This window comes from Homo sapiens, chromosome 1 (genome assembly GCF_000001405.40).
Source record: "Homo sapiens chromosome 1, GRCh38.p14 Primary Assembly".
NCBI lineage: Eukaryota > Metazoa > Chordata > Mammalia > Primates > Hominidae > Homo > Homo sapiens.
In genome coordinates, this window is record NC_000001.11 from 99,276,394 (window position 1) to 99,290,509 (window position 14,116).

Consider the following 14,116-nt stretch of genomic DNA (forward strand, 5'->3'; position numbering starts at 1 on the left):
TGAACTTTCATAATATTTAAGTAAAATGGTTTAATAATAAAATTGATACTTTATTTTAATAAACATCATGAAAACATAATTAATTTAGAAACACTGATGGTCTTTAATTCAGTCATTCCTGTGTATATAATGTTAAGATTATATGTCAATTTAAATCTCAAAATCAGAAATTTGCTTCTCTTATGCTATAACTCAAATACAAGGGGACTTCTAAAAGTTCATGGAAAAAATGGAATTAAAAGATAAACACAAAAAATATAAACTTTATTTCTCAAGATAAGCTCTATCAAGTTCAAGATAGTTTAGTAAGCAATGATAAAAACCATTAGTCCATTCCTAAAGTACTGATGCTAATGGGAATTTAACCATATCATTGCAATCTTTTTTACATTATCAGCTAAAGAAAAATGGGTGCCTTTGAAAGATTTCTTAAGAATAGAAAACAAGAAGAAGTTAGAACAAGCCAAATTAGGACTGTGAAATGGATGCCTAATGATTTCTCATTGACACTCTCACAAAATTGCCCATGTTTGGTGAGAGGGATGAGCATTGTTATGATGGAGAAGGATTCTCTAGCAAAGCTTTCTTGGGCTTTTTTCTGCTAAAGCTTTGGCTAACTTTCTCAAAACACTCTCATAATAAGCAGATATTACTGTTCTTTGGCCCTCCAGAAAGTGAACAAGCAAAATGCCTTGAGCATCCCAAAACGATGTTGTCATGAACTTTGCTCTTAACCAGTCCACTTTTGCTTTGCCAGGACCACTTTCCCATCTTGGTAGCCATTGTTTTGATTGTGCTTTGTTTTCAGGATCATACTGATAAAACCATGTTTCATCACTTGTTACAGTTCTTTGAGGAAATGCTTCAGGACTTTGATCCTACTTGTTTATTTTTGTCCATTGAAAGCTCTACTCTTGTCTGCAGCCAATCTGGCCACAGTTGCTTTGGCACCAATTGAATGGAAAGTTTGCTAAACTTTAATGTTTCAGTCAGAATTGTGTAAGCTGAACCAAGTGAGAGGTCTATGTTGTTGGCTATTGTTTGTGTTGTTAATAGTCAGTCCTCTTCAATTAGGGTATGGACAAGACAAATGTTTTCCTTGCAAATTGATGTGGATGGTCTGATGTTGTGGGCTTTATCTTCAACATCATCTTTTCCCTTCTTAAAATGAATTATCCATTTGTAAACTGCTGATTTCTTGTATTTATAAACTTTCTGCAAATTATCAATGATTTTGCCATTCTTCTACTAAAGCTTCATCATAAATTCAATGCATGTTCTTGCTTCAATTTTAGCAGAACTCATGCTGCTCTGACAGGGGTTCTTTTCAAACTGATATCTTATCCTTCTCGGTGCTTCAAACTAGATCTTTTTCAGATATGTTATGAGTGAGTATGAGCTTATTTTGGTGCAAAAAATTGAAATCCATTCACAGTTTTTTCATAATATACATGTTCCATGACTTTTGAAGATCGCTCATGTAGAAGTTTTAGTTATGTCACATTTGCCTGACATTATTACAAGGTGAACATCTGTGTGCTTTCTATGTGTGAATAAAACAATCCCACTAATAGTGAAAACACTAATCTAAGTATATTAAGATCTTACCTTTTTAGAGGATATGAAGAATATATACAATATCACACACTATAGAAATTGTAGGGTAGCATTAACTATCTATAAAAAGAAATATTCTCTTTTTTATTTTGTTATTTCTCAATGTCTTTGGAAACCCATTGATCCATTGTATAAGCTTCTAGGAAGAGGTAGAATACAGTAATTCTGTACAATAATCACAAACATGAATTGGGAAGCCAGATTTCTTGAGTTTGTAATCCAGCTAACAAGCTGTATAACCTTATACAAATCATGGAATCTTACTGTATAACCTCATACAAATCATGTAATCTCATGTAATCTCAGTTTCCTCATCTGTAAGATGGCAGTAATAATAGTATCTTCATCAAAAAGGTGTTGTGAAGATTGCATGAATTCAAACATATAAAGTACTTTAAATGGTACCTGTCAAACATTAGTAGCATTAAATTACTATTATTACCCAAATTTTTAAATGTCAGCTGTATGTTGTAAGGGAAGAGAAATTACAGCTGGAAGAAAGGATTTAAAAGCAATTACTTTTAATAATTGAAATACAGATTCTCAGCCTCAGGTCTTAGTCTCTAACGGTTTAAAGAATAAAATGCTTTCCAAGACAATGCACATTCTTCAGTGTCTAATTATGTAAGAAGAACAAATTTTCACTACCTGAGGTTAAGTCTGGTGAGTGCAAAACCAACTACCCCAAGCCTAGTGCTAGATCAATATTCAGGTAATAAAACAACCACTTATCATTATTTTTGACTTTACTGTTACATCAGTGTGATTGCATTGGTCCTTTTAGAGCTGTAAAGATGTAGTTTCATATTCAGGTATAAAAACATAGAACAGATTTTTTTCCCATTCAACCTAATACATCTATTAGGTGAGGTAGCTCTTCTCTATTAATTATCATTGCTATGGAGGATCCAATTTAAGTTTCTTGATTTGTTAATGCTAATGAAATCATTAGAGTTCTAGAAATTCAAAATAGAAAGCATTTTCTTGTGGTAGAATAAATGAAGATCTTTTTAAATGGTGGATATTTTCTTAACAATACTGCAAGAATGTCTCAACATTTGGTATCTCTCTTCAAATTGTCCATGTATGTATTAGTTTACTGTATATTGGGGACACCTAGTATGTCAGGGATAAAGAGATGGATAAGACTATTTCTCTGCTCTCAAGGATCTTGTCGCTGAATAAGAGAGAATGTAAAGGAACAACTGCCATCCCATATGACAATTGCTATGATCTAGACATTCATCAGGATATCTCTGTATGGTCAGAGAAAGTGATCCGAAGGAAGCACTAAAAGCAGGAAAACATGTGGAACCTTAAGTTTGCCTAATTTCTGATACTTTATATTAGAAATCATTCACTAGGGAAGACAAAAGTGAAAATAAAAGCAGACCATATCCAAAATATAATTAAATGCTCTTAAGATATTCCCAAAACCAAAATAATACAAATAACTTCAAAGAAACTGCACAAGGAATAACGTTCAGGACCTGAGGGCACCACATCAGTGAGAGTGTGATTTGAAAGTGCCTGCCACCCCTTTCCTGTTGTTGCCGTTGAAACCCCTTGACACATGGCCATCTCTCGCCTTGTGTCCTTTAAACTGGCAATCTCATTGAAGCCTGGGGCTGTCCTTTCCTGAAAAGCACCAGACTAGTGCCAGATGGTGACATGTGGCAGAATGACAGCAGGATACACGGCGGTGCATGCTTCCAGGAATTTAGCAGACCAGGTTTCAATTACTGGCCTTTGAAGCCAGGCATGCTATTTTACTTATCTGGGGCATGGTCCTTATCTTAAATTTATCTTAGGGATCCCAAGGAGGTTAAGAATTAAAGTAGATAATTAGGATGAAATGTCTAAATAAAAACTCAGTAAATGTCCTTTGCTTTTTAGGTCTAAGTACATACCTAATAAATTCTACTGAAACTGAGAGGAGCTCTAGAAAAGACAGATCTCAGATTGGAACAAACAAAGCAATTTTCATGTTTGGGTGATAAAGAATAAGTGAGTAGAGAATGTGTTTAAGAGTAATAAGAATTAAGAGAAACAGAGTGGCGTTTTTCAAACTGCACCTTTCCCCTAGGACCCCCTCTCCCCACATGGGCACCCCACATGCAGTTATCTTAGCGGTGTGGAGGAGGAAAGCCAGTTGAGTTCCATGAGCAAAGAATTTTGAGCATGTTTCCCAACTTAGACACCTGGGTAGGAGTCTGGGTGTTCCCAATTTGGGGGCTTTGTGGCTGTTGCACAATTTATATAACCTATTTCTGCCTCAGTTTTCTCATTTGTAATCTGGGGATACTAATAGATACTTTATACAGTGTAGATTGAATATAGCGATCTTTTAAACTTAACTAGTATCTGGCACCTAAGTCCTCAACACATGCTGTGTACTTTTCAGAAATTGCCTATGTTTTTTGTTCCTTTAATCATAATTTCTTGATTTCTTTCAATTAAATTCAGTGAACATTTATTGGACACCTAAAACATTAAAAGCACTGGGTGAATTGCAAAGGTTTCACTCTTGAGTACTTGATCTTAGGGCAAGGGTTGGTAATATGTAAATAACTATAATCAAAGGCAGACTAACAGATCCTTCGATAAAGTTATATATGAAGTATGTGAGACGGAGTCTTCAATTCTGAGTGGAGAGCCTGGAGAAGGTTTCAGGGAGAAAAAAATTACATGATCTCAACCTGAAAGAATAAGTACAATTTTTATGAGAAATAAATGTGGAACCATAATGTGAAGCAGAGACTAGAACATGTCTTTTTGAAATATAAATATAATGGGAACATGGGCTGTCTTTCTGGTTTAGGAGAGTGGAGAGTAGGTGGAAAGCAAAATCAACCAAGACAGGCAGATCAAGGCCATATTTTAAAAAGTCATAAATATCATTCTAAAAAATTTGCACTTTATTTTGTTATTAATGGGGCACCATTAAATGCATGATGAGGTGTGAATTCTAGGAAAATTAGTTTGGAAACATTGTGGAGGATGAAACAAATTATGAAGAGAATAGAGATTTTTTTAAAGGCCCTAATGCTTTATATAAGGCAGTGACAGTGTGAAAGAAATGAGAGAAATGATTCTTAATTCATGACAGTATATGAAGCATTTCAGTATTAGATGGCAATGTAAAAAAACCCCTCATTTCACTGATAACAAATGAAGCCCAGAAAGGTTAAGTGACTTTCCCAAATCCCAAAAGCTGGCAGAATAAATGAGGGGAGAAACTGGATTCTCCTGCTTCTGAGGCCAGCACTGGTTTCCCTCAATCACACTGCCCTGTTTCAATTTGTATCTATTCATGTCATACAAGCCACATCTGTTTTATGTATAAAAACCAGTTTAGATTTCTAGACCTTAAGTAATGTTGCAGACTCATTCTGACCAATTATTTCCCTTAATGACACTTCAAGTGTTAGTCTGTGTTTATAATCTATATTTTTGAAGTTCTTTGCAGCCAATCTGAATATGCTATACTTAGAGTGAGGATAGTTTTATATACCATAAAGCCTAATATTATGTTATTATTATTATCAATATTTGAAGAAAATATTAATCTGTATTAGCTACAAGGCAAAAAATACTACAGGATACCACTAAAGATCATACTGTAGGAAGTAGAAAATTCCCTCACCACGTGTGTGTTGACCTGTGACAATCTTCTTCATGGCTACAGGCTTTAATACAATTGCTTTGATCTGCTAGTATTTTTCCCAGTTTTAATTGAATTTCAATGTATTCTGTTATTGTTTCAAATTTCACATTATATATGATTTTGGGATATTTATAAAGTTGGTTCCAAGCCTCTCATTTTAAATGTGTTATTAATATTAAAATCTTCCTTAATCTCTTAGAATAGCTCTTGCATATGTTTGGCATGAATATACACAACTATTTTCTTTGACTTCTTGTGACATTACTTATATCAAAACTAAAATAATTTAACCTTGAAATCTCTTATGATAGTGTTGTTCCCCAAAAGTGAGGATTTTGCTGCTTAAATCATCTTGTACCAATAATTTTCAGCTTTATGCCTCCAGCCTTGGACTCTCCTGTTAGCTCCAAATTGACCTCTTACTTTAGTAACTAAGAGATGTAACAGTTTTAATATTTTCAAAACAGAATCTTCTATTCTTTCCATCCAAACTTCTCCCTATCCCAAGGAATGACACTACTGGCCTAATTCCTCAAACCCCATCTTTGAAATCAACCTTTATTGTTTTATCTTCTTCATTGATCAAGCCATAAACAAGGTTTGTCATATCTATGTCCAAAACCATATCAACAATCTGCCGATTTCTTTGTATCTCCAGTACTAAACTCTAGTACATGCTGTCTCATCTCTCCTGGATTTCCGCCATTGCCATGCATCCACTAGAATGTAAACTCTGTGAATGCATGGAGTTTTCTCTGTTTGGTTTACTGCTACATTCCTTACACTTAGAGAAGTACCCGATGCCTACTAGGTATTTAATAAATATTTGTTGAGTTTTGAACAGCCTTCTAAATTTTTACCCTATTCCTACTTTTGACCCACCATGATCATCCTCAATCTAACAGCCAGTGATCTTTGTAAAATACATTTCAAATCATACTACACCTCTGCTTGAACTCTCCAGAATGTTTCTGATCCTACTTTAAATAAAATTCTAACTTCCTCCTTGGACGTCGGGTCTCTGCAACGTCTGGTCCCAAATCTACCTCTCTGACTTCATTTTGTATCACTTCCTCCTTTTGATTATGGTCTTTACCTGGTTTTCATATGGCTAGTTCTTTCTTGCCCATTCAAGTCTCTGCTTAAATGGCACCTACTCAAATAGGTCTTCCTAGATCTAAAATGGGAATTCAGGCACTTAATTACACAGCCCTCTTCTTTATAGTATGTGTTCTTTCTGATATATATATCTTTCTGATATATATTTAATATATATTATATATTATATATGTGCAATATATAGTTAATATATAATATATATTATATATATGAAATATATATTGTTTACCTGGCTTCCTCAACTAGAATGAAATATTCATGGGAACAGATATTTTGTTTTATCATAACTGTATTCCCAGGACCTAGAACGAGGCTTGGGACTAGCAGGCTATCAAAGATATTTGTTGAATGAATAAATGGATGAGGCACCAATACCATGCATATAAATTGGCCCTTTGTGACTATGGTTTCCACCAGTTCAAAAGGATGTTATAGGACTCTGAATTCACAATGGCTATGAGAGAGGCAAAGAATGGAACTGATCTGTATTGCCCTAGGCTCAGAGCAAAGTGAACTCTCCCCAGTGAAAAGTAGTTTGTCTTTATTATAATCAGGCTAAAAACAAGTAAGCTGTCTGATCTAGATAAAATATCATGATAGTTTTGATAAAATGTTTCACTAAAATGGATATATAATCTAGATTTGTCTTTTTAAAGTTGGCATCAGAAAAATCAATGTTATCTAGCAAATGTGGTATTTTAAAACACCTTTCTTTTGTTTGCCCTGTTCTCTAAAACAGTTATAATTTTTCTTCTGGTTCCTCAGCAGATGGTAATTATAAGAATCAGTCTTTTCCTTTTGAAAATAAACCGCTTTCCTAATCCTCAGGTAATTTCCCTCCGCTCTATTGCTGCATAAAAATAGCTCGGTTTGGCTGGGCGCGGTGGCTCACGCCTGTAATCCCAGCACTTCGAGAGGCCAAGGCGGGCGGATCACCGAGGTCAGGAGATCAAGACCATCCTGGCTAACACGGTGAAACCGCGTCTCTACTAAAAATACAAAAAAATTAGCCGGGTGTGGTGGCACGCTCCTGTAGTCCCAGCTACTCAGGAGACTGAGGCAGGAGAATCGCTTGAACTCGGGAGGTGGAGGTTGTAGGGGGCCGAAATGGCACCCCTGCACTCCAGCTTGGGCGACAGAGCGAGACTCTGTCTCAGAAAACAAAAAAACAAAACAAAAAAAGCTTGGTTCACACTTTTTTGGGGGCTGTATCATGACTAGAGAATAAAATTTGTAGTTCTTGGCTATGTAGACTTTTAAAAAATCTCTTTAAATCTCATTTTCAAAATCTCATTTTAAATGCAATCGAAACAAGTCTGTGTAATTTTATTATGTGCATATCAATTCTATATGTATGCCGAAACCGGCACATACCGTCTGTTAAATTCCTTACACTCAAAAAAAATCTGTTGTTGAGCATTTCAAAAGATAAAAAGGTAACTCTGAAGACAATTATGTTAGAAATAAACATTGTCATTTAATTCATTACATTGGGTAGTAAACTACAGTATGGGAACACCATGTATAAAATTATTTATTTCCAAAATATAATGAATATAATGAAGATTTTATACAAATAACTATTACAAACAAAATGATGTAAGGAGCAGAGTAAATATGCTTTTTAAAAAATAAGATAAATAAACATCAAAAAGAAAAAAAGGTTCTTTTTAGTAGAGATGGGGTTTCACCATGATGGTCTGGCTGGTCTCAAACTCCTGACCTTGTGATCCGCCTCTCTCCCAAAGTGCTGGGATTACAGGTGTGAGCCACTGCGCCCAGAGAAAAAAAGATTCTTATTAGGAAAACAAATGAAGGTTTTAAAACATGCTTCTATAGAAATATAGAAGATATTAATATATATATGGAAAATTATATAATTAGAAAAATGATATAATTGGAAAAATTGTCAGTTTCAGGAAGGCTACTGGCTGAAAAGACTAATGCATAATATTAATGACAAATTACTTTAATTCATATGTTAATGTGGCATATATGTATATATAGAGATACATGCGTATATATTTGGAAGTCACTATAACGTGTATCAGTGGCAACATAGAAATCAGTACGATTAGGCCCCTGCCTTAAGGAGATTTTAGTTTGGGAAGCAAAGCAAAAGACTAAACCTAGTTTATAGCAGATAAAAAAGAGCAGTGGGTAAATATTTCCTAAAAAGAAGTACTAGGGGATTAAAACTGAAGAAATTACTCTCAAAAGGTATTATCAAGTAAAGCTTCATGAGAAAGGTGATGTTTAGTGAATATATTATTGTTACTGGTTATAACAATAACAACAATACTTAATAATATTTATAAACTATTTATTCCAGATATTGTTGACTGTGGAACTAGAATTCATGGATTCAAAATCCACCTCTGTCACTTACGATATGTAACTGCTTATCCACCTGCAAAATGAGGATACTGATAGCAACTATCTTATGTCACAATAGAAAGTTTTAGGTTAAATGAGTTTAAAATATGTCAAATTAATTAAAATTTCTAAAACATAATATTGGCACGTAGTAAGCACTTTATGAAGTATTTGTTAAATTAATACTTAAATATATTTATATGGATTTAAGTGGAAATTTCAATAATGTGCATGCACCACGAAGCGCTGATTTATTGGTCAAGACTGAAAGCTACTATTCGTGCACTATAGGAGAGGGAAGTAGTGAGGCAAAATGATCAGATATTTGAAGTGATCGAATAATAGCCGATAAGAAAAACTAAATGTTTTTGATATACTTTTTGTTCTCTGCAAAGCATCCATCTGAAAAACAGAAAGATTATGCAAGTTTACTCACTATGTATTTCTTTTTTTTCCGGTAAACCTAATTATTTCCTAACTACAAAAAAAAAGACCTCTTGGGAATAGAAGACATAATGCTGTCTTCTAAAAATAAAAATTAAAAAACTGTTTTTTCAAACCAAACAATCAGAAATCATGGGTAGCTAATATTGTCTTTATCAAAAACATTTCCTGTTTGCTTAAATAAATATTATATCCTCCAAAGGAACAAAGCCTTAAACTAAGCAGTTCTTTGAGTGTTATGTAAGTCCACATTTTTGGGTTCTGGAAGGTCTGGCACTAGGTTAAGCATGTGTGATATTTTCTCTTTAGCTGAGAGCAGGTCTCTCACTAAGCTATTGCTCCTTGGTGACCAAGTCTATCTCTTATTCACTATATTATATCTACCTACATTAGTGCCTAGCACATTCACACATGAATGAATAAACAATTAAACACAAAAATGGTACACAAAGCCTAGAAAGTACACTGTGCCTAGTTTAGGGAGACCAAATAGATGAGACCCAGTGAAGTCAGGATTTTCAGATAAACAATGAATAACTTTTAGTGTGAGTATCTCTCAAATATTGCATGGGGTATACTTACACTAAAAATTATTCATTGCTATCTGAAAATCTGATTTCACTGGGTGACTTGTATTTTTATTAGCTAACTCTGTTAACTCTAGTCTAGTTATTGTAATTAAATTAAGGTTTACACATTTATTCAATTATCTAGTTATCAACAAGTATTGATTGCTTCCTTAAATTATTAAATGATGTATTCCCTGCCTACCAAGTGCCAGGACTTATAAATAACACTGGCAGATTCTCACTTCATAGAGCACTTATTTCAGTGGGAGACTGGGAGAGATGAAAAATAAATAAGTGAAGTATTAAATTGGCAAGGTAATTTCAGTTAATGATAAGTGTCATGAAAAAAATCAAGCAAGATGATAAAGTAGAGAGTGAAGGATGGATCAAGATCTACCTTGGGTAAAGCGTGCAGAAAGGCATCATTAAATGATGTAAAGAAGCAGTAGTATAAAGAGCCAGAAAAAGAGCACAAAAGGAAGAAGAAACAGCAAGCACAAAGGACCCTGGGCAGAAATGAATTCGAATATTACAGGAAAAGAATGAAAACCAATTAGATTGCAGTGAGCAGAGGGCTGAGAAGTGGTGAAAACGTAGTACAAGAAGAATCAAGAGCCAAAGCATGAAGCAACTTGCATTGCATGGGATGGCATTTGGATTTTATTCAAGTTGAGTGGGAACCACTAGACTGATGCGATCTGAAATACTTTGTTGTTGTTGTTTGTTTGTTTTCTTTATTTCTTCTAAAATAAAAGGGATACATGTGCAGAATGTGCAGGTTTGTTACATAAGCATATGTGTGCCATAGTGGTTTGCTGCACCTATTGACCTGTCTTCTAAGTTCCCTCCCCTCAACCCTCAACCCCCAACATGCCCTGGTGTGTGTTGTTCCCCTGTCTGTGTCCACGTGTTCTCAATGTTAAACTCCCAGTTATGAATGAGAATATGTGTGTTTGGTTTTCTGTTCTAGTGTTAGTTTGCTGAGAATGATGGCTTCCAGCTTCATCCATGTGCCTGTAAAGGACATGATCTCATTCCTCTTTATGGGTGCATAGTATTCCATGGTGTATATATATATACCACATTTTCTCTATCCAGTCTATCATTGATAGGCATTTGTGTTGGTTCCATGTCTTTGCTATTGTAAACAGTGCTGCAATAAACATGCATGCACATGTGTCTTTATACTAGAATGATTTCTATTCCTTTGGGTATATACCCAGTAATGGGATTGCTGGGTCAAATGGTATTTCTGGTTCTAGATCCTTGAGGAATTGCCATACTGTCTTCCACAATGGTTAAACTAATTTACATTCCCACCAACAGTGTAAAAGCGTTTCTAGCTCTCCACAGCCTCACTAGCATCTATTGTTTCCTGACTTTTTAATAATTGCCATTCTGACTGGCATGAGGTGGTACCTCATTGTGGTTTTGATTTGCATTTTTCTGATTATCTGTGATGTTGACCTGTCTGATCTGAAATATTTCTACAAGACCCTTTGGAATGCTGTGTGGAAAATGAATGGGTATGGTGGGAGGGTAGGAGTGGAGGTGTAGCACCAATTAGAAGGTTGGGGTCAACATAGATGCGTAACAGGCTGTGACTAAGGGGGGTGAATTGGAATCCATGTTGAAGGTAGAAGTAATAGAACTTATGAATGATTTTTAACTCTGGAATCGGAGAAGAGTAGCGAGAGAAGGAGAGAAAGCCACTTGTTTTCTATGTATGCCCTGTATATCAGGTAGAATAAATTGATCTTCTTTGTCCTTCATTCTTAGTTGCCTATATTGGCATCATCGGTGGTTAGCCTCTATTTCCTCGAACTCACAGATGTCTTCAAACCTGTGCACTCTGGATTTAGCTGCTATGACCGGAGTCTTAGCATGCCGTACATTGAACCAACCCAGGAGGCAATTCCATTCCTCATGTTGCTTAGCTTGGCTTTTGCTGGACCTGCAATTACGGTAAGAATTACCCCCAAAATTGTGTTTATCTGTCCTGGAAAACTAAAAATCACCACATTTGTATAATAAATGGGTTCAAAGCAAACAAAACGTGAACTCTAAATCCTAAATCAAAGTCATGTCTTTGAGATATATTGACAGTATCATGTGGAAGTTAATAGCTTAACATTATTGGCATTAAAATTTAAACATTTTATGATTGGAGAAATGATTGATTCCTAGTGTTTATTTTTATTAATCATTATGAAAAGTTTTGTAACTTTATAATTCACTTTGAATGGCTAATAGGACATTTCTGATATACTTCCTAATTAACTTACTTTACATGTGTTTATTTAGTATCTGAAGCCTGAAAAAATGGGGGAGAAATTACATAGCCAAAAGTGCATTTGCTATCACTCACAGTTTTATTTCTTACTAGATTATCACTGTTTATTGATTATGGATACTGAGCATAAATAATTATAAAGATATAAAAACTCATTCCAGCCATGCATGCATGCACACATACACATACATACAGACATACTCAAATAATAAACTGTTTTATATTCAGAAAAGGCATTTTCATTTTAAAATATGTTCATGAATTCAAAATAGCTAGAAGAGAATAATTTAAATGTTCCTAGCATAAAGAAAAGATAAATATATAAGATGACGAATATCCTAATTACTTTGATATGATCTTTACATGTTATATGAATGTATCAAATTATCAGCTATACCCTGAAAAGATGTACATCTATCATGTATCAATAAAAAATCTAAAATAAATAACTAAATAAATAAAATATGTACATAAAGAAATGCTCTAATGTACTGGAACTGAATTCAAAACATAGTTGTTTTTAATGTGTTAATATACATTGTGAGTAACACACTTTTAGATAAATCTATTAATAAATAAGACTGGCCAACCCTTTTCACCACCTCTTTTGCCCCAAAAATACTACCTAAGAGGACAAGAAACACTTTTCAAGGGAAATGGTATTTACTTCTACAGTGAAAAACTCTTGTTTTGCTTTTAGCATGTTCATGAATGTCAAAGGAAATGGCTATTAAATTAAAAGCTTTATTTGAAAGCTCCACATTCTAATGAATTCGCCTATTCAGGTTCAGTACAGCAGAGTTTAAGAAGAGTCTCTGCACAGATGTTCTAAACTCTATATTTTTATGTAGCTATGGATTTTTTAATTCCCCAATATTAAATAATTATAATATGCTGTTTACAATTTAAATACATAGTGTATAAAATATTCTCAGAAGATAAAATTGAAACTTAATTTTCATAGAACTTTATCATATTTGAAAGGTCTCTAAACACTTTAAAAATTAATGAGTTATTCTATAGTGACTGTCACATTACTAGAACTATTAATAATGTACTTGGAAGAAGCTGAGACTTTGAGACTAATAAAACATTCTTGGAGTGCGATATTGCTCAGAATAACATTATTTTCCTATTATTTACTGAAGTTTTAACAAAAAATTCATATTATACAGTCATTTTACCAGGGCAGAAAAACAGAACTAAAGACAAAAGCCACATGATTATCTCAATAGATGCGGAAAAGGTTTTCAATAAAATTTGACATACCTTCATGTTAAAAACTCTCAATAAACTAGGTATTGAGGGAACATACCTCAAAATAATAACAGCCATGTATGACAAACCCAAACATCATACTGAATGGGCAAAAGCTTGAAGCATTCCCCATTGAAAAACAGCACAAGACAAGGATGAACTCTCTCACCACTCCTATTCAACCTAGTATTAAATTCTGGCCAGAGCAATCAGACAAGAAAAAGAAATAAAGTGGATTCAAATAGGAAGAGAAGTAAGACTATTGCTGACTAGTCACCAGATGGCATGATCCAATGTCTAGAAAACCCCATTGTCTCAGTCCAAAAGCTTCTTAAGCTGATAAGCAGCTTCAGCAAAGGCTCAGGATACAAAACTATTGTGCAAAAATCACTAGCAATCCTATACCCCAACAACAGTTAAGCTGAGAGCCAAATCAAAAAAGAACTCCCATTCACAACTGCCACAGAAAGAATGAAATATCTAGGAATACAGCTAACAAGAGAAGTGAAAGAGCTCTGCAAGGAGAACTACAAACTACTGCTCAAATAAATCAGAGATGACATAAACAAATGGAAAAATATTCCATACTCATGGATAGAAAGAATCAATATCATGAAAATGGCCATACCATCCAAAGCAATTTATATATTCAATGCTATTCCCATTGAACTACCAATGATGTTCTTCATAGAACTAGAAAAATCTATTTCAAAATTCATATGGAACCAAAAAAGACCCCAAAGAGCCAAGGTAATCCTAAGAAAAAAGAACAAA

At 34.3% G+C, this 14,116-nt stretch overlaps 1 protein-coding gene across 3 annotated transcripts in view; it reads left to right on the forward strand.

Moving 5' to 3' along the window:
- Positions 1-14,116, forward strand: part of PLPPR4 (phospholipid phosphatase related 4) — a 46,661-nt gene that overhangs the window by 13,470 nt on the left and 19,075 nt on the right. For all 3 annotated transcript variants that reach the window (XM_011542498.3, NM_014839.5, NM_001166252.2), the window contains exon 2: positions 11,572-11,757. In XM_011542498.3, coding sequence (XP_011540800.1) covers positions 11,677-11,757 — 81 coding nt within the window. In that variant the 5' untranslated portion in view covers positions 11,572-11,676. The remainder of the gene's footprint in view (positions 1-11,571; positions 11,758-14,116) is intronic.